At 42.1% G+C, this 25,563-nt stretch overlaps 1 protein-coding gene and 1 pseudogene across 2 annotated transcripts in view, besides 1 other annotated feature; both read right to left on the bottom strand.

Moving 5' to 3' along the window:
* Positions 2,917–3,437: an enhancer, noted in NCBI's record as "OCT4-NANOG hESC enhancer chr18:61178432-61178952 (GRCh37/hg19 assembly coordinates)". NCBI's record gives its function as "activates a minimal SCP1, AML or CMV promoter by ChIP-STARR-seq in primed H9 embryonic stem cells {active_cell/tissue: H9 hESC(primed)}" and the evidence as "EXISTENCE:reporter gene assay evidence [ECO:0000049][PMID:30033119]".
* The window catches only part of SERPINB5 (serpin family B member 5), a 28,128-nt gene continuing 12,115 nt past the window's right edge, over positions 9,551–25,563 (bottom strand). Inside the window, exons 4-7 of one of the 2 annotated variants that reach the window (NM_002639.5) lie at positions 25,172–25,289; positions 21,541–21,683; positions 15,349–15,516; positions 9,551–11,306 (exon numbers count right to left, since the gene is read on the bottom strand). In NM_002639.5, coding sequence (NP_002630.2) covers positions 10,914–11,306; positions 15,349–15,516; positions 21,541–21,683; positions 25,172–25,289 — 822 coding nt within the window. In that variant the 3' untranslated portion in view covers positions 9,551–10,913. Of the gene's footprint in view, positions 11,307–15,348; positions 15,517–21,540; positions 21,684–23,903; positions 24,023–25,171; positions 25,290–25,563 lie in introns of those variants that run through there. The other variant, XM_006722483.4, reaches the window with a different exon arrangement.
* ATP5MC1P6 (ATP synthase membrane subunit c locus 1 pseudogene 6) lies at positions 17,133–17,694 on the bottom strand (annotated as a pseudogene).

Genomic DNA, 25,563 nt, shown 5'->3' with positions numbered 1-25,563 from the left:
AACGTGAGTACTGTCTCTATGCTTATAAAGAGCAATCTCCAATCCCTTCCTAAATTACCTCCACACCGCCATTTGCATGCCAAGAGCTCAGGTGAATCTCAGCTGCAGCAGGAGAGGGGCTGACTGAGCTTTGGACAAGGCGCTCTCCTCTCCTATGGAGGAAGATAGAAGTGACCTCGTTCTTCCCCTTCCTTTACAGGGAAGAGGGTTAAGCTATAGGCTACTCGCTAAAGGTTACTTACATAAACTTAAACTAGTAGGAAACTGAGGTGTACAAAGGTAAGAGGAAGCAAATCAAATTTTTCTTGAGTTTCAGAGTGGGCTTCCTTTATGTTGGCATTCTTTAATCTTTGGAGATGACTTTTCACCTCACAGGTGGGTGCCTTGGATAACAGGTTTCCAGGATTTGTTCCCTTAAGTTTTGTTCCCTTGTCATAGCTTTACTCGTCAGGAATTTGCAATTGAAATGGGCTGAATTCCTTCTGTGGATAATATTAACGTGCTAATAGAGCAAGAAAACCCTGCAGACTTGCCTCCGAAATCATTCTTGCTCAGGTCAGTGAAAATGCAATAGGAACTTTTCAGTCTGTAAGGGAGCTGGGTCTTCTGTAGCACTGGGCTCTTGGCTCTCCAAATCACTCCCTTCTTAAAATCATCCCGTCTCTCTATGGCTCCTCTTCCTTGGCGGGCCACCCATCCTGGCTTCCCTGGGTTCTGCCCTCAGCCCACTCTCTTCTCCTGATGCTCTCTCCCAGCCATGGTTTTGGACCCCACCATAAGCTGATTCATCTCTCGCCTCTAGAAACACTAGTATCCTTTCCTGTCTCTTGCTGAATGTCCCATTGGCATCTCAAAATCAACATAGCTAAAACTAAAAGCAACTAAAAGCATGTTAAAAATGAAAACAAACAAAAAACCCTACTCCCCATCCTGCCCTTTTTTTTTTTTTTTTTTTTTTTTTTTTTTTTGCTGTTAGAAAAAAATGCAACCCCACCTTTCTTGGGACAAAAATTTCATAGAAGTCAAAAATGGCAACAGACCTCTAGATAAAAGCATTAGCAGAGTTCCAGTCAGAATACTGCACTCCCTTAATGCTCAATTTAAAATGAAACCTAAAGCAACAGAATACATTGAGTATAATGTTTCTTAAGAGAATTCATCAGCAGATCTATACCATTAAAGTATTAGCAAGAAGGTATGTTTCCATTGAATTACTTAGTATGTTCCTATAGTACAGCCAAAAGAGATGCACACACATCAATGGCTATCAACAAAATGTTAATATGAACGCACCTGCATACTTCTCTCCCTTTATCCTTCCTTCTGCCCCTCTGCTGCCAACCTGGTAAACAAGTTGTAATATACACTGCTCAGAGGCAGTTTAACAATTCCATGTCCATGATGCCTCTTTTATGTCAATTACAACAAAAAGATATTTACAAACCAGCTAATTGGCTAACTCTTTTTATTCTACATTTTCAATTCAGGACACCTATGAAACTTAGATGTTGCAAAATAATAAACTTTGTCCATAATAAACACAGGGACTTTTCTAAAAATGTTCATAGAGGCCTATGGTTATCATCTGAAACCATCTTCCAGATCTGGAGATGCCAGCAGAGAGCCCTGCCCTTCAAAACGGAGTCCTGTACACAGTCACACTGCACTTCCCATGTCCAAGATGGTTCCATTAAGTTGTATAAGCCTGAAAATGAAGAACCATCACAATACCCCTGTGGTCCTTCACCCACACATCCCTACCCAATAAATCACCACACCCATTTGTGTCTACACTGGGAAAATGGCTCTCCAGAGCGCATATCCTGATATCCCCTTCCCATCCCCACCACCACTGCTGAAGCTGAGGCCTCACACACTCTCACCTGGGTTACTTCAACTCCCTCCTCACCTGTATCCATTCTTTCAGGCTTCACCAGCCACTGGCCAGGTACACTTTTCAAAAATGCAAATCTGAGCTCTCCTCTGCCCTCCTTTCAACTACTGAGACTCTCAGGAGGCTCCATGTCTGTGGCAGTCTGTGGATTCTGAAACTTGGCCATCATGACGTAAGTATAGAAATGGAGATTATGAATCTAGAAACTGTTAGGAAAACTTCACCAAGTAATTTTATGTATGTCGAAACTAATCATGAAAAGCTAGGGCTTCTGTTTTGGGTGTCTTCATTTTTTTATTTTACTTTCCTTGGAACTCATATTTATTTTGTTTTACTTAAGTATTGGTCTATGATGAATTGGTAATATAAAGGGGGAAACTGTTCCTTCACCGTAGGTAGTTTGACAGGCACCTCTGTGAATTGTCTTCCTCCTCCTGATCGTCCTTGGGATGAATTTCAACCTCCTAGAGTGTTGGGGTGTCATGCACAGTCCTGCCTACACTCACCACCCACCGCGACCCCACAGCCATTTCCTTTCTCCTGAGTCCTTGCTGTGTGTGGGCCACTAGCCCCCCGGCTTTGTTTTCCTAACTAATTCCTGCTGGTCCTTTCAGACTCAGCTCAGACTGAGCCGGGAGTCCTCCTTCTTGCTCCAGCGCCCCTCCAATAACCCATCGCAGCTCTGCTCGCGGCTCACTTTCTCTTACACGGCTATGAGCTCTGTGTCTTATTCCTACCTCTTCTCCCACACTTTGGCCAATAAGTTTTTATCCAAAGAATTAATGAAAAGATGAGTAATTAGATTGACGAAAATTTCCTTGATAACCTTGTGGACAAGATGGAGACAGCAAATGAGGGTCTAGTTAGGTCGTTTCAGATAGCTGTCTATTGGATGCTCAATACAATGTTATTAAATGAAAAAATAAATTTATGACTGGGAATGAAGTGCTTAAAATTATTGAATACAGAGTGCAAATCTTCTTTAATGCTTACTATACCTCCATTATCAGTGCCTGTGATGAATTTTGGTAACAAAGAGAACAATATCCAAATGGTCTCCTGTTCGCCAGCTCAGGCAGGCCAACTCTGAGGCCAGCAACATTGCAATGACACCTGCCCAACGATGGGAAAACCTGTTCTCTATGTGGAAAGCCATTGACCTAATTATCCAATCCGCGGAGTTCCTGCTTTCCCCTAAATCAGCAAGAAGAATTAAGGGCAAGAGAAAACAGCTCATCCTAACTTCCCAGCACCTCCCTCTAGCGGCTGACTAAATTTAGCTATCGACAGCAGCTCTTGACAAAGGAAAGAAGGCTTGTTTATTTGGGTGCTGTGCACAAGTGTCCATCTCTCCAGTACCCAGGCTTTGGTTCTTAGGCATCCAGCTCCCTTTATCCAGGCATCCTCCCTAAGGAAAGATGGAACTAGAGATGGCAACGACTCCTTTTGGACCCCAGGTTGACTCCAGTCAGGTCTCAGCATGTCATCACGGCTATCAGACTGCTCCTTGCAATAAATCAGCTGATACCAGCGCCCCTCACTCATGCTCTCCCCCAGGGTATGTCCATCCTCCTAAGCAGAGCCTACTTCTCATCAGCTTATTTGCTCCTAAAATCTATATACTCCTAATTGCCCTAATTTTACAGAGGATCATTATCTTAGCAAGGTAACATATCGAATTGATGATGATGATGTCAGTAATGGTAATGATAGTAGTACTGAAGATGTAATGATGCTCTTTTTTCTTCTGCAAATTTTTCTGAGTACTGAACAGGGCCACTGCTAGCCTATACCCTATCTTTTTGTGAATGCAAAAGAGGTGACCCTTTCTCAGACAGGCACAGCCCCACACCCTGGAGCCCTGCTATGCAAGTGGACTACAAGCTTGACTTCAGCTCCCTCTAACCATCTCTGTAGGATATCCTTGTGCAGGGATCTACCTACACACCTGTATGCAATGGTGCTCGTGTGGGCAACAGCCTGAATAAACAGTAAAAGACTAGGCAGCCTGCAAGAAAGAGGCAAGTCTGTGTTTATATTTGGGCAGGGGAAAAGCAGCTATATGGTGTGGAAGAGAAGTTGGTTGCATTGTCTTGACATTTCCTACCTCCCTCAGTAACTTTGGGATTGCTGGAAAGAAAAAGTCATTTCACCACTAATATGTGGTCCTAGAATTGACATAACAAGTGAGTCTTTGCCTCACTTGTTCTCATTTTCCTGCCAAAGTTGGGGGGAGGGGGGCGGCGCACATAGCAATCATGCCTCTTCACCTTTGGGAGGACAACCTTTGTTCCTAGTGTCAGAGAGGAGTGTCAGACCCTTGACCATGCTTTTAGGGATGGAAATGGCAGCCGTCTCCACATAGATGGATGGGTGAGGGATGGCTCAGGATGGAGGATTTGTTTGGGCCCCGTGAACTATTAGCTTCAAGAGGAATCTCAGAAATCCCTGAGATAAAGACCCTCCCTCCCTCATATACAGGTATTGATAGGAGTGGTTTGGTTGCTGGAATCCAGGGCTTCCTCCCACACCAGGGTTCTTTCCATAGTATCCACATGGCAACCGGAAAAATCTTGATTTTTCTTACTAAGTCTATTTCCCAGCTAAGTTGACTTTTCCCAAAACTCACTCTACTAAACAATTGTCCTCCAAGATGCAGGGTGACTACCAGGTTTAGAGGTCGTATAAATTTAAGAAACCAGGACGGGCACGGTAGCTCACTGCCTGTAATCCCAGCACTTTGGGAGGCCAAGGTGGGCGGATCGTGAGGTAGGAGATCGAGACCATCCTGGCTAACACAGTGAAACCCCGTCTCTACTAAAAATACAAAAATTAGCCGGGCGTGGTGGCGTGTACCTGTAGTCCCAGCTACTCTGGAGACTGAGGCAGGAGAATGGCGTGAACCCGAGAGGCAGAGCTTGCAGTGAGCCGAGATCATGCCACTGCACTCCAGCCTGGGCAACAGAGCGAGACTCCGTCTCTAAAAATAAAATAAAATAAATAAGGAACGAGACACTGTACCCTCCTCCAGATATTCAGAAAAGACGTCAACTGCGTCAATTTTTTTTTTTTTTTTTTTGAGGCAGAGTCTTGCTCTGTTGCCCAGGCTGCAGTGCAATGGTGCAATCTCCTTTCACTGCAACCTCCGCCTTCCTGGTTCAAGTGATTCTCCTGCCTCAGCCTCCTAGCTAATTTTTGTATTTTTAGTAGAGTCAGGGTTTCACCACGTTGGCCAGGCTGGACTCGAACTCCTGACCTCAGGTGACCCACCTGCCTCAGCCTCCCAAAATGCTGGGATTACAGGCGTGAGCCACTGCGCCCGGCCACATCAACTTCTTGAAAGCTTGAAGAGTACTGCAGAACCTGTTTAATTTGGTTCAAAACAGCTTTTTCAAGATTTTTCAACCACGGACTCCTATTTCATAGCAGCTTCTCATACCCTACACAACTACTGTTCCTCCAGACACACTTTCAGAAACACAAGACGATCTTGTTTTATGTCATCAGAGAAGCCCTCATTAGATGCAAGAGGCAACCAACACAAACACATAGATCACCTGCCCATTCAAACTCTATTTTCCATCCATTGAAAATATGCCTTGGTATTTATTTTACTGTGTGATAGATCCTGTCCCAGGAGATGTGAGAAGTGCAAAGCAGCCTGTGATAGAGACAGGGAGGGCTGTCATTTCAGGCCACGTGCAACTGGCAAGACTCCTCAAATGCGGTCAGAAGTTCCAGGGACACGTCTGTATCTATCTCATCTCTAATGGAGAATAATGCCATTTCCTTTGTCTGTTCCAGGCCTTGGGAGAGGAATAGTCATTTGCCGTTAGTGAAACAGTTTGATCTCTTTTCTCAAAAAGCTTTCACAAACTCAAGCAGCTGTTACTGTCTGGCAGAGGATGGTGACAAGGACAAAAGAACAGGGAAACGCCCATCACCTAAATCTTCCATGACTGTAGGGTGGGGTTGAGGGTAAGAATGTTGTGCTAGTGGTTTCTAGTCCAAGAGCTAAAACTTAGAAGGGAAGTCTTTTTAATCTGATATAAATCACAAATGCCATACAGTTGACTGAACAGGACTCCTGAGAAAGAAACAGAATTTTCCAAAAATTACATTTAACCAGACATATTTGAAAAGCAAGTATTTATGGAATGTTTACTTATTATGTAAACATTTAACTTTTATTTTTATCTACATTCATTTGTCTTCTATTCAACATAACATTTCATTTTTAACATAGAGGAAAATCTGCCCTTGAAGCTTTTTGTTTTGTTTTTTCCTATGAATCATCAATTTCTTGATGCAAAGCAACCAACACTAAACAGGCTAAAGGGACTTTAGGTCTCTTTCATTTTTTATTTGTAAAAATGTATGGGCACACATGAAATTTTGTTCCATGTCATGTGTAAAATGTGTAGTGATCAAGTCAGGGTATGTGGCTGTCCATCACCCAAGTACAATACATTTTTGTTAAGTACAGTCACCCTACTCTGAAATCAAACATTGACTCTATTCCTTCGATCTCACTATATGTTTGTACCCTTTAAGCCACTTTTCTTCATCTTCCCCTCCTCCCCCAGCTCACCCCTCCCAGTCTCTGATCTCTATCTTTCCACACTCTACCTCCATGTGATCAAATATCGTAGCTCTCACATATAAGTGAGAACATTTAATATTTGTCTTTTTATGTGGGTTATTTCACCTAAGATGATTAATCTGTCTTATTTTACTTCAGATAATGACCTTCAGTTCCATCCATGTTTCTGCAAATGACATGATTTAATTCTTTTTTATGGCCAAATACAAGTAAGTTTTGTAATATAATCAAATCATAGTGATTAAAAAGTATGGACTGTGGAGTCAGAGAGCTGGGGTTTAAGTCCTAACCATATAACTCAGTAGCCATCTGTGCTCAGCAAGCTTTTTTGTGTCGCATGTCTGAACTTTAGCACCTTTCACCTCAAATGGTGCCCCATAGGGTTGCTGTGGAAGCTGAATTATAACATATGTCATGTCTAGCAAAGTGTCTGGCTCATAATAATTTCTCCAAGAATGGCAGTGGTGATGGTAGGAGTCATAGTTGGAAAAAGTAATCACTCATAATTATTATACAATCATAATGAAAGATAGAGAGGCACTGGGAAAACCACTAAAATATATATATACATTTTATATATATATAAAATGTATATATATATAATATATATATGTGTGTGTGTAACAATCAGGAATGCACACATATTTCACCAAAAAACATGTACTAGAATATTCACAATGGTACTATTTGTAATAGCCCAAACCTGGAAATACCCACATGTCCATCAAGAGTAGAATGAATAAATTGTGATATATTCATAACATATCAATCACAAAGATTTTAGAAATCTTAAACAGATAGTGGCTCACGCTTGTAATCCCAGCACTTTGGGAGGCCAAGGCGGGCAGATCACCTGAAGTCAGGATTTCAAGACCAGCCTAGCCAACATGGTGAAACCCCGTCTCTACTAAAAATACAAAAAATTAGCCAGGTGGGGTGGCAGATGCCTGTAGTCCCAGCTACTCAGGAGGCTGAGGCATGAGAATCACTTGAACCTGGGAGGGAGGGAAGTTGTAGTGAGCCAAGATTGCACCACTGCACTCCAGCCTGGGCAACAGAGAGAGAGACTGCCTCAAAAAATAATAATAATAATAATAATTACAGATGATTAAGTATAGAGGTGTCCATAGTAATATTATCTATAACAGAAAAACCAGAAACTAGCTGAATATTCATCAGTAAGGAAATAACTAAATATATGTTTTCATAGTCATAATGTTCACAAATCCAAGCCCTGCTATTTACCCATTTGGAGGCATTATCCAATTCTTCTAAGCCCATATTTCCTCATAAAATAGATAGGCATGGCCCTTAACTTCAGGGTCACTGTGAGAATAAGCAAAGGCAGTAATTGGGCCCCTTACTGGTGGACTGTCTCTGACTCTAGGGATGTTTTAGTTGACAAGGAAAGGACTGCCAGGATATGACAAATATTTGGAACTCCTCCTAAATAGAGAAGGTCTGGAAGAGAGGAATTCTTTCAGGTTCATTCAGTGACCCCTGTCAGGGATCGCTGTCAGTTGGAAGAGGGCATGGAGCAGAGAGGTTAGGAAGTCCAGCTCTGGAGTCTGTCTTCATGAGTTCAAATATAGCCACCAACATGCATTAGCTCTGTGACCTTGAGTAGGTTGTCTATCCATTCTCTGTCTCAGCGTCCTCATTTATAAGATGGGATCATGGTTTCCTCCTGAAAGGTCTGTGGAGAGGACAAAATGAGATAATATACCTGTGACCAGTTTGCTAGTGAGCTGGGCTGGGCAGGGTGCTTGCAGAATGCACTGAATTCTTCCTTTCCAAACCGACCCTCTTTCATCTTCCTCCTCATCCTAGACAAAACCCCCCAGACTATCCACTAGATGACAGTACCCCAGCTGTGACAATGAAAATGTCCCCTAGGGGGCAGAATTTCCCCTGGTTGAAAAATCACTGAATTAAGACTGTCCCAGATAAGATGACCAAAATTTTCAGTGTTTTCCAAATTGCAGGAGACACTTTAAGCTCCCTGCATTCTTGGTTTAAAGAGGCACAAATCTCTCCCTTCCTCTAAAAACTCACTAATGTTTTTCACAGTCATCTCACATTTTGTATTTCATAGCCTGGATAAGAGGGATGATGAACCAAGCGGGCAAAATCTGGCTTTGACCACCCCCAGCAATCCCACACAAATAATCTTTTAAGGATGTGGGGGCATTTGTCAGCTTTTGTACTCATCATTTGTTGAAAGAGGAGACACGTTTAGTTCAAGCACACAATAGGGACAGAAAAGAGGCTATGTTGAATATTAGGTTCAGGGACACCATAACTAATTTAAAACAAATGTGCATGGCATTGAGAAAAACACTCTTCATAAGAAGAAACAATGTTTTAAGCACATACAGTGTCCTAATATAATGACTTTTGAGGGTGGGTTTAGAGTGAAAAGGGCTGGGAAGATCTCTATGTCCCAAGGTGTCTGATTCCATTATAGATGTTTATGCAGTTGAGAGTCATTCTAGCACTGCCCTGGTCTTTTACTCCCTAGGATGAAAGGAGTGTGGGAGAAAGAAGTCAGAGCTGAGGGCTAGGAAGAAAGGAAAACAAGGGAAAAGAGGAAGTAATTATTCTTATTTCTTTTTAGTCTGCCTCAATCTTCAAAAGAGCATTTTACCTACAGGGATGCTTTGGGGTTTTTTGGGGTTTGTTCTTTTTGTTTTGTTTTGTTTTTGTTGTTTTTATGTTTTGAGTTTTTGTTTTGTTTTTTTTTTTTGAGACGGAGTTTTGCTCTGTCGCCAGGCTAGAGTGCAGTGGCCTGATCTTGGCTCACTGCAACCTCCGCCTCCCAGGTTCAAGCGATTCTCCTGCCTCAGCCTCCTGAGTAGCTGGGTCTACAGGTGGGCGCCACCACGCCCAGCTAATTTTTGTATTTTTAGTAGAGACGGGGTTTCACTATGTTGGCCAGGATGGTCTCAATCTCTTGACCTTGTGATCTGCCTGCTTCAGGGATGCTTTTGTAAACGCACGGCTTGGTTCTATTTCAAAATAGTCTAACTTAATAGGAAAAAAAAAACAAGACATGTAGTTCAATAATATTTTATTGTCAATAGCATAGGAAAAATTCAATATTGAATCTCAGAACAAGAAGAACCTATTTACAATGCAGGTCAAGGAAGAGATGGGAGAAGGAATGTCACAAAATTTTTGGTAAATACATATTTTTTATAGAGAAGTAATCCATGAACCTGCAACACGGATAGCTTATCCAACCAACTTTACAAATTACTATTAATATAAGTTACATGCTTGCCATCTAAAGTAACTAAACCCATAGACTGAAAAACTATGTGTCAAGGTAACGTGAGCACTTTAATCACTTTACTTATATTTTCTAAAGGCAGTAGTTTCCTCTCCTTTTCCCGCTATCATATTAGATGAAGAGACAAGTTCCTTCAACACAAATTCTGATATCGGCTATTGTGAGAATCCCTGTGCAAGTCAGCTAGAAGCCCCTGCCACCAGTCTAGTGCCAACCAAATGACCAGATGGGACAGCTATCAAAAATGAAAGTGAATTTATATTAAGATCTGAACTTCCTCTTGGGGTCTTGCATTTCAGCTACTAGAGGTCTATAATTCCTTATCCAACATTCCACAATCTGAAAAGCTCTGCGAACGAAGTGTTTTTGTAAGTTGGTGGCATACGCATTTGGCAGCAAATTTTGACCCCTTATGGGCTACTTAGTCTTTATGTATCCATTTTGTCTGAATATTCTACATTTTGTTGCAGCATATTAAGGTGTTGATTTATAGGGTGCTGCCCCAGATCTGATCCATGAAGTTCTATAACATACAGTGTATGTAAAATATTATCTTTTGAAAATCCCCAAAATTCAGAATTTTAATAAACACCTGCCTGCCAGGGCTTAACATAAGGACTTCTGGACCTATAGTAGCCTGAGCATGTGCCCAAGTTTCACTGGAGCCAGGGCAGTTTCGTGGGTCCCATGCACTACACTTTCTTCAGTCTTTCAGGGAAGCGAGAATGTCTGGAACATTCTCTATCCCAAAGAAGGAAAGCATAGTGCTGGGAAGAAGAGCTTCCAAATCTTCCTTATAGGAATTTTCTTTGTGGAAGACTGTATTTCTGCCAACTACCCCGGACAATTTGACAAATAATGAATAAATATTTTTCCTCTAACGTGATTCCTTTTCATTAAAAGCGTATGTCATTGTCTTATGGGAAAAAAGGAAACAAAAGATAGAATTGGAAAAAAAAAAAAGGTCTATCTGTGTGAAGGCTACATATGACAAGTACTGGCGGCTTCCTGATCCAGCAACATTAGCAATTTATTGTATCTAGAAAATGAATCTCTGGATGCAGAGTTTACAGAAATCGGCATCCACAGAAAAGTCAGGGAGGACTTAACATGGGCTATGCCACTTAAGGAGAACAGAATTTGCCAAAGAAAATAATGTTTCGAGTTTTGTTGTGCCTGATGATGTAAATAAAGGGATGGTCAGCATTCAATTCATCCTTGTGCTGCAGGATCCGTGCTCCTGGCACCTCTATGGAATCCCCACCATCTTCAGTTATTTCTAAGCACACTTTGTGGATAACATTTGATAGGGCCACTCCCTTGGTCTCTGACATTCCAGAGAAATCAGATGTGTCTTCACTGAAGATATGTTTCAGCCCTAGATTTTCCAGACAAGCCTTGGGATCAATCATCTTTTCCACCTTAAATTTTGGAATGGAGAGTTTGACCTTGGCATTGGCCATGGTGCTGGGATTAGTCCACTGTGACAGTGACTCTGAGTTGAGTTGTTTTTCAATCTGAAGGACAAAAATGAAAAGAAATTATTTTTATTTATTTCCAACTGTAAAAGACCTGGCTCAATTGAAAACATAAGGTGTTATGATAAGCCCAGCTTCAAAGCAGTCTGGGTGGAACATCAAAGATGGCCCAGAAGTTTTTGGTATGTGACTCAGGAGACCCAGCAGCCACCCAGCTGTGTCCTCCTCCTCCCCAGCCTATAACAGTGTTCCATGTGCACTGAAATTTATGAGGACAGGGTTCTGTTTTTTCATTTTAAGTTAGAGAGTAGTTTTTTGTTTGTTTGTTTGTTTGTTTGGGTTTTTTTTAGACAATCTTGTTCTGTCACCCGGGCTGGAGTGTAATAGTGTGATCGTCGCTCATTGCAACCTCTGCCTCCTGGGTTCAAGCAATTCTCGTGCCTCAGCCTCTCGAGTAGCTGGGATTACAGGCACACTCCACCATGCCCAGCTAAATTTTCTTTTGTATTTGTAGTAGAGACAGGGTTTCATCATGTTGGCCAAGCTGGTCTCAAACTCCTGGCTTCAAGTGATGTGCCAGCCTCAGCCTCCCAAAGTGCTGGGATTAAAGGTGTGAGCCACCGCACCCAACCTTAAGTTAGAGAGTAGATTTATAGAAACAAATGCCTGGATCATGATGTTGCATACACAATAGTGAAATGAATATAAAATTAGAAAGCTTTTTACACATATTTCTTGAATGCTTATTGTAATTTCTCTACGAGGAAATCCAGAATATTCATGTACTAGGAATGGCATCAGATTTAGAAAATTAAATTAAAGCTAAAGTTACTTTTTTTTTTTAATGGGAATTTGAACTAACTCTGAGCCATGCCCTAGGGTCATAGGTAGTGAATGCATCCATTTTAGCTGTTTTAAAAAATGAGAGAGATGCGGCTGGGCGCAGTGGCTCACGCCTGCAATCCCAGCACTTTGGGAAGCCGAGGTGGGTGGATCACGAGGTCAGGAGATCGAGACCATCCTGGCTAACACAGTGAAAGCCCGTCTCTACTAAAAATACAAAAAATTAGCCAAGCGTCGTGGCAGGCACCTGTAGTCCCAGCTACTCGGGAGGCTGAGGAAGGAGAATGGCATGAACCCAGGAGGCGGAGCTTGCAGTGAGCTGAGATCATGCCACTGCACTCCAGCCTGGGGGACAGAGCAAGACTCCATCTCAAAAAAAAAAAAAAAATCATTTCCAAAACTCAAAAGGTCATTTTCTTTAGTTCTATACTTTAAGAAGAAAATAATTGAAAGCCAAAATTGACAAATGGGATCTAATTAAACTAAAGAGCTTCTGCACAGCAAAAGAAACTACCATCAGAGTGAACAGGCAACCTACAGAATGGGAGAAAATTTTTGCAATCTACTCATCTGACAAAGGGCTAATATCCAGAATCTACAAAGAACTCAAACAAATTTACAAGAAAAAATCAAACAACCCCATCAACAAGTGGGCAAAGGATGTGAACAGACACTTCTCAAAAGAAGACATTTATGCAGCCAACAGACACATGAAAAAATGCTCATCATCACTGGCCATCAGAGAAATGCAAATCAAAACCACAATGAGATACCATCTCACACCAGTTAGAATGGCGATCATTAAAAAGTCAGGAAACAAGAGGTGCTGGAAAGGATATGGAGAAATAGGAACACTTTTACACTGTTGGTGGGACCGTAAACAAGTTCAACCACTGTGGAAGTCAGTGTGGCAGTTCCTCAAGGATCTAGAACTAGAAATACCATTTAACCCAGCCATCCCATTAGTGGGTGTATACTCAAAGGATTATAAATCATGCTGCTATAAAGACACATGCACACGTATGCTTATTGGAACACTATTCACAATAGCAAAGACTTGGAACCAACCCAAATGTCCAATAATGATAGACTGGATTAAGAAAACGTGGCCCATATACACCATGGAATACTATGCAGCCATAAAAAATGATGAGTTCGTGTCCTTTGTAGGGACACGGATGAAGCTGGAAACCATCATTATCAGCAAACTATCACAAGGACAACAAACCAAACACTGCATGTTCTCACTCATAGGTGGGAATTGAACCATGAGAACACCTGGAAACAGGAAGGGGAACACCACACACCAGGGCCTGTTGTGGGGTGGGGGGAGGGGGGAGGGATAGCATTGGGAGATATACCTAATATAAATGACAACTTAATGGGTGCAGCACACCAACATGGCACATGTATATACATGTAACAAACCTGCACATTGTGCACATGTACCCTAAAACTTAATGTATAATTAAAAAAAAGAAAAATAAATTATTGAAATAAAAAAAGAAGAAGAAGAAGAAAATAATTGATGTTTATTGGAGGGCGTTTTAAGAACGAAAGGTAAAATCCAAGACAGCTGGATAATGGCTGAAAGATCAAAGCATAAAATGGAAAGAAAAAAAACAGAGAGAGTAATGCACCAAAGAAGAAGAAGGACAGGAATTATAATTCAGTTAATAAAGTGGTGGCTAAAACATAATGGCAACCAAAGGAGCAAGCTGGAGACTGGATGGTCCCCTGGAAAGTCAGCAAATCACTGAGGCCCATGTGGATATATAGCAAGTGATCCAGGCCTTCAAAGAGCCCCTTCTTCCTTCCTGGCCAAGGGTTGAGGCCAGGCGGGGTGGAGCTAGAATGGAAGCCAGGGAGGGACTAAAGGGAGAACAGGCCTCAGCCAGCTAAGCAGAGGTGAGGGAGCAGAGAGGAAGCTAAAACTCCATTCACCTGCAGAGAAAACTGCTACTCTTATTTAAACTTTGTGCCTTAAAAATCTATATAAATAAAATAATATAATAACCCTTATCATATAAAATAAAATACTTATATATAATGTGTACTATAAAATAGTATCTGCATAATTCAAAATTTTGAAGCATATATGTGTACGTATTAAAATCTCATAAATGTACAACACAAAGAGTGAACCGTAACGTAAATTGTGAAGGCCAGGTGTGGTGGCTCATGCCTATAATCCTAGCACTTCAGGAGGCTGAGGCTGAGGATTGCTTGAGGCCAGGATTTCAAGACCAGCCTGGACAACACAGTGAGATCCCACCTTTACAAAAAAAAAAAAAGCCAGGCATAGTGCTGTGTGCCTTTAGTCCCAGCTACTTGGGAGGCTGAGGCAGGAGGATCACTTGAGCCCAGGAGTTTGAGGTTAGAGTGAGCTACCATCATGCCACTGCACTCCAGCCTGCCCAGGAGTTTGAGGTTAGAGTGAGCTACCATCATGCCACTGCACTCCAGCCTGGGCAATGGAGCAAGACCCTGTCTCTAAAACAATAATAATAATAATAATAATAATAATAGTAATATGTCAGTATTGGCTCATCAATTGTAACAAACATACCAAACTAATGCAAGATGCTAATAACAGGTGAAACTGTAGGCCTGGGACGGGAAGGGGAGTATATGGGAACTCCTTGTACTTTCTGCTTATTTTTCTGTAGGCATAGATCTACTCTAAAAATAACATCTACTAATTTTAAAAAAAAAGAAAGAGCAAGAGAGAGGATGCTTGACATCAGGTCACATGATAGTGGACCTGGCAGTGCGTAGCAACGTAGTGCCTTAACTGCCTAGGAGGTGAGGGAGACACTCTAGCCTTCAGTTAAGAACCTGGCTCCAACTACCTGGGCCCAAATCCTGATCCTGCACACACCCTTGACTAATTATGTAACCAGTTACCCACCCCTCTGTGCCTCAGCTCCCTCACTGGTAAACAAGAGTGTGGTAACAGTCTCTAACTCATCAGCCTGCTGTAAGAATTAAATGAGATAATGCACGTAGGCAACTTAGCACAGTCCCTAGAACACTGTAAGTGCCAAATAAATTTTGGCTGTTGTTAATATTAAGGAGGAAAGGCCCCAGAAAGAACCATGGGTCCTTGGAGGTGACTGAGCCAGTGGCAATAAGGGAGGGCTACCGGCCCAGCTCTCACGGCCCACACAGACCTGTTGGCACAACTCTTTGCCAAGGCAGGGGGTGCCTTTGTGGAGAGCACCTGCCTTCTCCTTACCTTCTCCAAGCCTGTGGACTCATCCTCCACATCCTTGGGTAGTAGGATGAACATGCTGAGATGCTTATTTTGAAAAGGAAGCTCTATGATCTTACAATTGATACTGTCAATGTTTCCCATACAGAACGTGGCCTCCATGTTCATCATCTGCACTGGTTTGGTGTCTGTCTGTAAAAGGGAAAATTTGGACTGCTTACTTTTCAATTTACACATGCATAAATATATATATATATATATATACACACACGCGCGCACACACACACACATATATACCCACATGTATATATACAGACACACATACATATATACCTACACCTATATATATACAGATACACATACATATATACATACACCTATATATACACATATACATATATATGCATACATACATATACATACATATACATATACACACACCTATATATACACACTTATATATACATACTATATATATATACCCCATACATATATACACACATGCACATATATACACATATATAGGCAAACACATAAATATATATGTACATATATATATATACACAAATTTGCTCTTGACACAGTGTCAGATTATTATGGCTTATAATTCATCATCCACTCAGATCCAAACTGTATTGCACTGAAACCAGAGACTGTCCTGTGAAGAGTTTGTGTTCCTTTGAAAAGTTATTCATATACTTTATAATCTACATGTTACACATTACATGAAGTATATATAATACTGTATTTGCATAGATCAAACCTTAAAAATAAGACTGTATGGCTGTAAATATAGGCAACGTTTGTTATTCTTTACAGATGCCTATGAGATCTTTAAACTATTCCTGGTGGAGCTGACTTGAAAGTAAATTCTACTGCAAACCCACATAACCATTTATACGGCTTTTCCTAATAAAATGCCTAATTTCAAAAACTGGCTGGGCACGGTGCCTCATGCCTGTAATCCTGCACCTTGGGAGACCACTTGAGGTCAGGAGTTCAAGACCAGCCTGGCCAACATGGTGAAACCTTGTCTCTACTAAAAAATACAAAAGTCAGCCAGGCATGGTGGCACACGCCTGTAATCTCAGCTTCTTGGGAAACTGAGGGAGGAGAATTGCTTGAGCCTGGGAGCCAGAAGTTGGTGTGAGCCAAGATCATACCACTGCACTCACTCCAGCCTGGGCAACAGAGCGAGACTCCATCTCAAAACAAAACAGAACAATAACAACAACAAACTTAGCACATAGCAGAACAAAACAATATTTGTTGTGACCTCTCTGTTTGTCTTTGGTTTGAATTGCCCACTCCCCACTGTACTGCCACCTACTCAGATCTGAGCTAATTAACAAAGTCTAAATTGAAGATAAGAACCTTGGTTTTTAGTCCCAAATGTGACATAAACAGATTCTGTGGCCTTGAGCAAATCACTCAATCTCTCCAGGCCTCAGTATTCTTGTCAGTAGAATGAAGAAATTGTAAATTCAGAATAATGGTTACCACTGGGGAGGAAGAAAGAGGAACAGGACAGTGGAGTGAGCAGTGAAGGGATACATACAAAGCAATGCAACTGTTGTTATATTTTTTCTTTAAAATATCTGAAATAATTAAGGCAAAATATTAAGTTCAAAAAGATGATTGATCGGTATATGGGTGTTCGTTTTATTATTCTCTATCATTTTCTGAATGCTTGGAGTATTGCATAATTTTTAAAAAGGAAAATGTTCTTTAAAATTATCTCTAAGTCTTTTTAAAATTATCTCTAAGTCCCTTTGAGCTCCACTGTATGCTTGGCTCTTTTTTTTTTTTTTTCAGAAACGTTGTGTTCAATGGTAAAGCTTAGCACAGCCCAGCACCAAGAATGGTGTGCAGCCGCAGCAGCAGGGACAGGCAGGTGACCCCCACAGAGCTTCACATGGCGAAGAGGATAAGGAAGGCGACCATCAAACAGAAGAGCCCCATGGCCTCAGACAGGGCAAAGCCCAGAATCGCATAGGAGAAGAGCTGCTGCTTGAGAGATGGGTTCCTGGAATAACCAATGATCAAGCTGCCAAACGCTATTCCAATGCTAGCCCCTGAACCAACCACACCAACTGTGTCTGCCTCAGCACCAATAAACTTGGCTGCGGTGTCAATGTCCCAGGAGACAACCTGGTCTAGAACTCCTGTCTGGCCACACCTAAAGTGGGGAGCTGCTGTAGGAAGGCTGTTTAGATGAATGCTCTGGGCTATTCAAGAAGGAGGCAGACACAGGCCGGATTAGACCCCTAGTACAACAGCGGATCAGAGCTGGAGAAATAAGTAATGCCCCGGTGGGCTGCATTTTCTCAGTCTCCCAACTTTAGCCCTTGGTCTCTCCCTGCTCTTCTTAAAGGGAGCCCATGGAAGGGTCTGATCGTTCAGGTCTTTTATGTCCAAGCACTGCCCAGGCCTTTTCTTCTCTTTGCTCCTATTAACACCTGGCCTCCTGTCTCTGCTCCAGAGATGACTGATTTCCTGAAGGAAAATTAATTCACGCTAAGTTGTAAAAGACTGACAGTAATGTTGTATAACCTATTGACATATACCTCCCATGGGATATTTGCCTGTTAACTAAATCTCTTTGGGGAGAAATTTCAAACTTCATATCAAGCCTGCAAGGATAATACTCCAGTAAACTTGCATCTGGTATCTTCAAATACTAAGCTGAACCTTCCCCAATACCTCTCTCCAGCAGAGCTAAACGTTATTTATTTTACTTTTGTATATACCTCTATTTTAACACTTGCCACAGTGTTAGAAATATTATCTAGTGATTGTCTTTCCACTTCCCACCCCAACTAGAATACAGTCAAGGCAGAAACTAAGTCTCATTTTCTACCCCAGCTTGTAGTTTCTCACTGAATATTTGGCTGATAAATAATGGAAGACTTCAACTCTATGTGTAACCAAAAACAGAATTATAGGAAAACATACTACTTTGGAGGTTAACAGATAATTCTTCCCTTTATTTCTCCTAAAGAGGATATTGTCTTAAAATATATTCCTCCTAAAGAAATTTGTCTAAAAATCTCCAACAGGTTAGACTGCTCATAGTTTCTGAATGTGCACATAGTTGTGGCCTCCAAAAACTGTCATCAATTTCACTTATCGGCACTGACTACAGGTACTTTATTTTCTGAAACACATGTTGAGACGACATATCTTCTGAAAAGAGGACCAAATAAAGACTATCTACCCCAGAAAATATAATACAACATATATACTAATATAGATATATATGGATAGATATCTTTATCAGAATAAGTACTATACTAAACTTTTAATGATATAACTTCACCAATTTAGTCTAACCCTTACCGGAGACACCACGGGGCATAAGAAAAGGTTTAGTAATGTCACTCAAAAAGTTCTAGGGTGGACAAAGCAATTCAAAGAAAACAAAGGAGAAGTAATAGCATCTGCATTCAAAAGAAGGGTGTAGCCTCATGCAGCTGTGAATAGCATTTTATTGCTTTATCAAGTGAAACACTGAGAGATCAATGACATTTCAAACTTTTATTAATTCTGTTCATAAAGGCTGAGTTTCCAGGATCTTATATAACCCAGCTTTATGATTTAATAGCAAGAATAAAGGAATAGCACACATTCTTCCTCCCTTCTCAAAAAACACACGTTAATACTTTCTTAATGAAAAAAGTACGACCCTTAGTGTGGTTGACACAAAAGTCCACATTCTACTCATTGACTATTGCAACATTTTCATGGTGTTCCTTCCAGGCTGGCTCTGGGGTCTTGAAGAGAGGCACCATTGGCAACCTGTTTCAGATTTCACTTAAACAGAGTTAGGAACCCTTTGCCAGCCCTTGCTATGGAGGAGAGCCAATCACTAATCAAAGGAGCCAGAAGGGTCACTCTATGACAGCAAAGGCTGTGTGGATGCCGTCAGGGCCAGTGGGGCCAACACCCCTCCCTAACTCACAGTAGAGGCTGGGTAAAGTCACGTTCCACTTCCACTCCAGATAAAAGACAATACTGAGAAGGTCAAAAAGCCATGCTTAAAACTCAAGGACCTGTGTGTGCAAAACACAAGAGTGTGAAGAGCATAAGCTATGTCTCTAGAATCTCAGACAGACCTCTTGTGTGCAGGGTCAATCCTGTCTCTGCAGTCAGCTTTGAGAAGACCACTGCAGTTGGGAAGCTAAACTCAGGAAGTTAGGAGGACCTCCTACCCATCCCTCAGCTCCCATGGATATTTTGAGTTGGTAAGGAGCAGTAACAGTCATCATTGTCTTCTCCCAGTGAAAATGCCCAATGGGTCTTGCATAGGAAACCATGGTAGTCCCAAAGGCCAGTCAGGTTTTGTCTGCTATTGATTGTTTAAGCAAACTGACCCTTAGGGACTGATCATTCATTCAGCAAATTTGCTGAGCACCTACTGATGTGTTAGGGACTTGGCCAGAAATTGTAGACACTGAGGTGAATAAGGCATTGTCCCTACCTTAAAAATCCCATGCGCTAGTAGGGGATCTATGTAAGTAAACAGATTTCACTGTGGAAAAGCAAATTCTGGCAGTGGACAGGGGAGAGTATGAATAAAAATTCCATGGGAACAAAGAAAGAAAGAGTAATGGAAGCCATCCGGCTAACCCAGGCATAGATTGTATCTTGCAGGGCTTTTCCTCATGGATGCTAGCATTAAGAAGGTGCTACTATATTTGGCAAAAACAAGATATTGATGCTAAGTACTCTAACTACTGGGAGAAGCATGAAAACTAGAACTGACGCGTAGGAGCTACAGGTAACTAAGCTACCTTCAAGTATTGTACTAACTGAAGTGCTGCTTCCAGTCTAACACAAGTCAGATCCCACCCACGGAGACCACATCACATCATCATATAGATGTCTGGGTTTTCCAATAAAATGGGTCAAATTTCCAGTCTCAGTTCCTTGATCTCATTTACAAAAGAGGTACTTTACCCATTTCTTTTTTTTTTTTTTTTTTTTTTTTGAGATGGAGTCTCACTTTGTCACCCAGGCTGGAGTGCAGTGGCACAATCTCAGCTCACTGCAACCTCTGCCTCCTGGGTTCAAGCCATTCTCCTGTCTCAGCCTCCTGAGCAGCTGGGATTACAGGCACATGCCACCATGCCCAGCTAATTTTTGTATTTTTAGTAGAGATGGGGTTTTACTATGTTGGTCAGGCTGGTCTCAAACTCCTGACCTCGTGATCTGCCTGCCTCGACTTCCCAAGGTGCTGGGATTACAGGCATGAGCCACTGTGCCCACCCTCTATTAATTATTTAACATATTTACTTCAACAGTATCAATGAGACTGGCCTGCAAAACAGGCCCTTAATTCTTCCCATAATGACTTCCAGTGATGTCAATGAGTAAGCCATACTTTGTTTTTTCACAGCCAACAAGTGCCTGAAAGCATCTGGTCTTGTTGTTTGTTTGTTTGTTTGTTTTTCTTGAGGTGGAGTTTCACTCTTGTTGCCCAAGCTGGAGTGCAGTGGTGCAGTCTCGGCTGACTGCAACCTCTGTCTCCCAGGGTCTGATTCTCCTGCCTCAGCCTCCCATGTAGCTGAGATTACAGGCACCCACAACCATGCCCAGCTAATTTTTGTATTTTTAGTAGAGACAGGGTTTCACCATGTTGGCCAGGCTGGTCTCCAACTCCTGACCTCAGGTGATCTGCCCTCCTCGGCTTCCCAAAGTCATGGGATTACAGGCATGAGCCACCACGCCCAGCCATCAAAGCATCTTATAAATTATAAATTAAAATCCCAGAACAATATACTTCGCTATCAACCGATAAGGAAATGAGATGTTAGAGAAGTTAATCAATCAGGAACAAGATTCCTAGATGTCAAGGTTTCATGATAATCCAAAGTCCTCTGATAACAGAGTTTGGTCTTTTCCTTTTCTGCTAAAGTTCTCAGATGTTTGTAGCTATTTTTCAGCTGGTGACTTAGCTTTCCTCGCTGGGTTACAAATTCTATAAAGTTTCACTCAGCTCAGATCCTTGAAGACATTATGGAAAAGAGGAGGGGGGGCCTCTGGATTCTGGCTCTTTTTGTACCACTTACCTTCCAGCTGTTCATCTCAGGAAAGGCACTTTGCCGGCCGTGCCCTCAGGTTCCTCATTGGAATGGATTTATGCCCCACTCTGTCCCTATCATTTTTCACATCTATAATTGGGCTCCTTTTACTGCTACATGCTGCCCCACATACCTTGTTGACTCTGAAAGGACATTCTTTTGTTTCTGATTCAGAAAATTTCTTCATCCACTTGCCAACAAAGTAGGCAGCATTAACCACAAGGATTTTGGTCTGGTCGTTCACACTGTTGTCAGCTAAAATGTTCTCAAAGTGGCCTGCAACAATTTTAGGAAAACACAAGTAGCAGAATTATTCTTCCAAACTACATCTGAAATTCACATGCATATTCACTGAGTATTTACCACTTCATGGAGTCACACCATGTAAGGCCTGATGGTTCCAACCATCAAATTTCAGAAGGACTCCTTTCTCTCCTTCTACCTTGACACAACCAGATCTACCAAAGAGGTCAGCAGAGGAGAATGAAGGAGCAGGGAAGAAAGGAAGAGAAATAAGAAGGAAAGCACAGCTACCATTCTGAATGCCTATTCTGTGTCAGGCAGTATACAAGCTATTTGATACACATTATATATATTTCTTCCTACTTTATGAATGAGGAAGCTGAGACTCAGCGATGATAAGTCACTTTCAAGGATGATATATAAACAAGGGTGGATTCAGGATTCAAAGCCAGCTCTTTCTGACTCCAAAGCCTGTGCTCTTGAATGAAAATACGTAATCACTTTCTTTATGGCAGAATTTCACATATATTATCTCAGTCTTTTCACAATGGTCCTATAAGGCAAAGATCATTATCTCCATTTTACAGTGCAGTAAACTGAGGCTCAGAGAGGCCAAGGAGCTGTTCTAGTTTCCTCAGCTGGAAAACATGTCTGAAGGTTGTCCCCTTCACCCCACAGCTCTCCATCCACTCTCTCAATTGCACTCCTTGCGGGCAGGCTGATTGCCTCAAGGTCAACTGTAATCACCATAGGGCTCAATCACAATTGCAGTTATTATAAAGCTAAATCCCAATAGCCAAAACAATTCAAGGGGAGTGATCCCTTAATAAAAAGAACTCCTCACATTTGAATAGCCCACAGGTTTTTTATAAAGGGTTTTCATTCACCTAATCTCCAATTTTCAGACCAATGTTCAGGGCCCACTTCACAGGCCTGTGACCCCTGTGTGAAGGACCCTGCACTTGGTTTAATGTTCAGCTGTCACTACCTCAAAATTCTTAATAAATGTTTAAACAAGAAGCCCAGCATTTTTACTTTTGCCCTGGACCATGCAAATTATGTAACTGGTCCTGCCAATGCTATATAATATGTTAAATATATATTAGTGTTATTGAAGAAACCTGAAGAACAAAGAAGTGTGGGAGCCGGTAAACGACAGAGCTTCAACTTCAACCCTGAGCCTCCCATTTCAAACTCAGAAGTCTTTTCATGGCTGGATGCGGTGGCTGACACCTGTAATCCCAGCACTTTGGGAGGCTGAGGCGGGTGGATCACCTGAGGTCAGGAGTTTGAGACCAGCCTGGCCAACATGGTGAAACCCCATCTCTACTAAAAATACAAAGATTAGCTGGGCGTAGTGGCACGCACCTGTAGCCCCAGCTACTTGGGAGGCTGAGACAGGAGAATCCCTTGAACCTGGGAGGCGGAGGTTACAGTAAGCCAAGATCGTGCCGCTGCACTCCAGCCTGGGCGACAGAGCAACATTCTATCTCAAAAAAAAAATGAAAGAAAGAATGGCATTCACAGCAACCTAGATGGAGCTGAAGACCATTATTCTTTTTTTTTTTTTTTTTTTTTTTTGGGAGACGCAGTTTCTCTCTTCTCACCCAGGCTGGAGTGCAATGGCGCGATCTCAGCTCATTGCAACCTCCGCCTCCCAGGTTCAAGCGATTATCCTGCCTCAGCCTCCCAAGTAGCTGGGACTACAGGTGCGTGACACCATGCCCAGCTGATTTTTGTATTTTTAGTAGAGACGGGGTTTCACCATGTTGGCCAGACTGGTCCTGAGCTCCTGACCTCAGGTGATCCAGCTGCCTTGGCCTCCCAAAGTGCTGGGATTATGGCATGAGCCACCATGCCTGGTCTGAAGACCATTATTCTAAGTGAAGTAACTTAGGAATGGAAAACCAAACATTGTATGTTCTCACTTATAAGTGGGAGCTAAGCTATGAGGATGCAAAGGCATAATAATGACATAATGGACTTTGTGGGGTGGGGGAAGAGTGGAAGGAGGTGAGAGATAGAAGACTACACATTGCACACAGTGTACACTGCTTGGGTGATGGGTACACCAAAATCTCAGAAGTAACCACTAAAGAGCTTATCCATGTAACCAAAAACCACCTGTTCCCCAAAACCTATTGAAATAAAACACAATATAATACAATTTTAAAAATTAAATCAGGTAACATGTGCCTCATTTTACAGTTCAGTAAATTGAAGCTTTGTGTCCAAATATCAGTTAGTAAGTACCAGTGTCTGGATTTGAACCTAGGTGCTGAATGACTCCAGAGACCCTGTTCTTCCCATGTTCTCATCCTGCAGTTACTGTCCTGTTAGAACTTCCTCAGTCAGTACAGAGACAGAGTAGCTGGGGGCGCCAGTCATTCTCGCAGGAAGTGGGTCTCCCTTGCCCCGGAAGTGTATCCCTCCCTAGACAGCAGCGACTGCCTAGGCTTCATTCTTTCATGACTAGATTCGGCCCGGCCTCCCAACGGGTCCCTCCAGATGCAATTATAAATATATCCACTGGGGAGGGGGACAAAGTCACTGATTTGCCCTCAAAATCATCATAACCCTAATTCTTTTCCAGCAAGGAAGACGACTCACCGGCAATTTTAAGGGAGGGACGAGGAGTCCGACGAGGGAGACGCCTGGGGGAAGCACTGAGCCGGAGAAAGAACCTAGGAGCTTCTTGGACCCCGGGGCTATCAGAGGAACGACCAGCATGGGGAGCTGCGGCACCGAGGACAAGCTGACACTACGGTTTTGTTTGGTTTGGTTTTCTTTTTTTAAGACAGAGTCTCACTCTGTCGCCCAGGCTGGAGTGCAGTGGCGCGATCTCTGCTCACTGCAAGCTCCGCCTCCCGGGTTCACGCCATTCTCCTGTCTCAGCCTCCCGAGTAGCTGGGACTACAGGCGCCCGCCACCACGCCCGGCTAATTTTTTGTATTTTTAGTAGAGACAGGGTTTCACCGTGTTAGCCAGGATGGTCTCGATCTCCTGACCTCGTGATCCGCCCGCCTTGGCCTCCCAAAGTGCTGGGATTACAGGCGTGAGCCACCGCGTCCAGCCGGTTTTTCTTTTACATATGTTGCCTATGTCCCTTTTTCCTTAACAAATTTGTAAAATTTGTCAGCTGAAAGGGGCCTCGGGGATCATGAAGTTATAATCCAGTCCCTCTATTTCCAGACTGAAAAATGGCCTCATGATTGGCCCAAAGTCATACTTTGTTAGAGGCGCAGCTAGGATTCCACTAGGGCCTGTGACAGCTCGTCAGAGAGCAAGACAAAGTAAACTAACACTGAAGCATCAACAGTTTCTACCAAGTGATGAGATGATACAAGAATTGCCCAGAAATCCAAGTTGTTTACAGGCTTGAAGGGAAAGAATTTAGCTTGTGTAGTAAAAATATCCAGAGAATCCTCCAGATGTTTTTTTTATCCTTGGAGCAAACATTTATGAGATGGAAGGCCCTGTTTACTTGGTGATTGATAGCAGAACAATTAAAGGGTACTTGCCATCTGTGAGATCCTTAATTGAGTTGTTGATCTGACCTTTCGTTTCTTCCAATTTATCTTTGAAGTCAACAGTTTCCAATTCCTTTGCATACGGTCTCTTCGTAGAGCTGATGAACTCCTGAAAAACATGCAGTTCATAAAATCAGAGTCTGTAGTCAAGCTATTGCATTGTTATTCTCTTCTAACAAAAGGATTATTAAATATCAACTGCTATATGTACACTTTCAAAATTGGTAACACTATATGAATTGAAACCTCATGTAGAAGTCAGTGAATTTCTTTGTATTGAATGTTTCATTTTTTTCAATTATAAGACAATTTCAATTATTAAATGCATCTATCAATTTAATATCAGCTTTGGGGAAAACACTATGTTAAATATGCCCAATTCT

The sequence above is a fragment of the Homo sapiens genome, chromosome 18 (assembly GCF_000001405.40).
Source record: "Homo sapiens chromosome 18, GRCh38.p14 Primary Assembly".
Lineage (NCBI taxonomy): Eukaryota > Metazoa > Chordata > Mammalia > Primates > Hominidae > Homo > Homo sapiens.
Note: the sequence above shows the minus strand (reverse complement) of the source record. Positions and strands in the feature narration are given on the sequence as shown.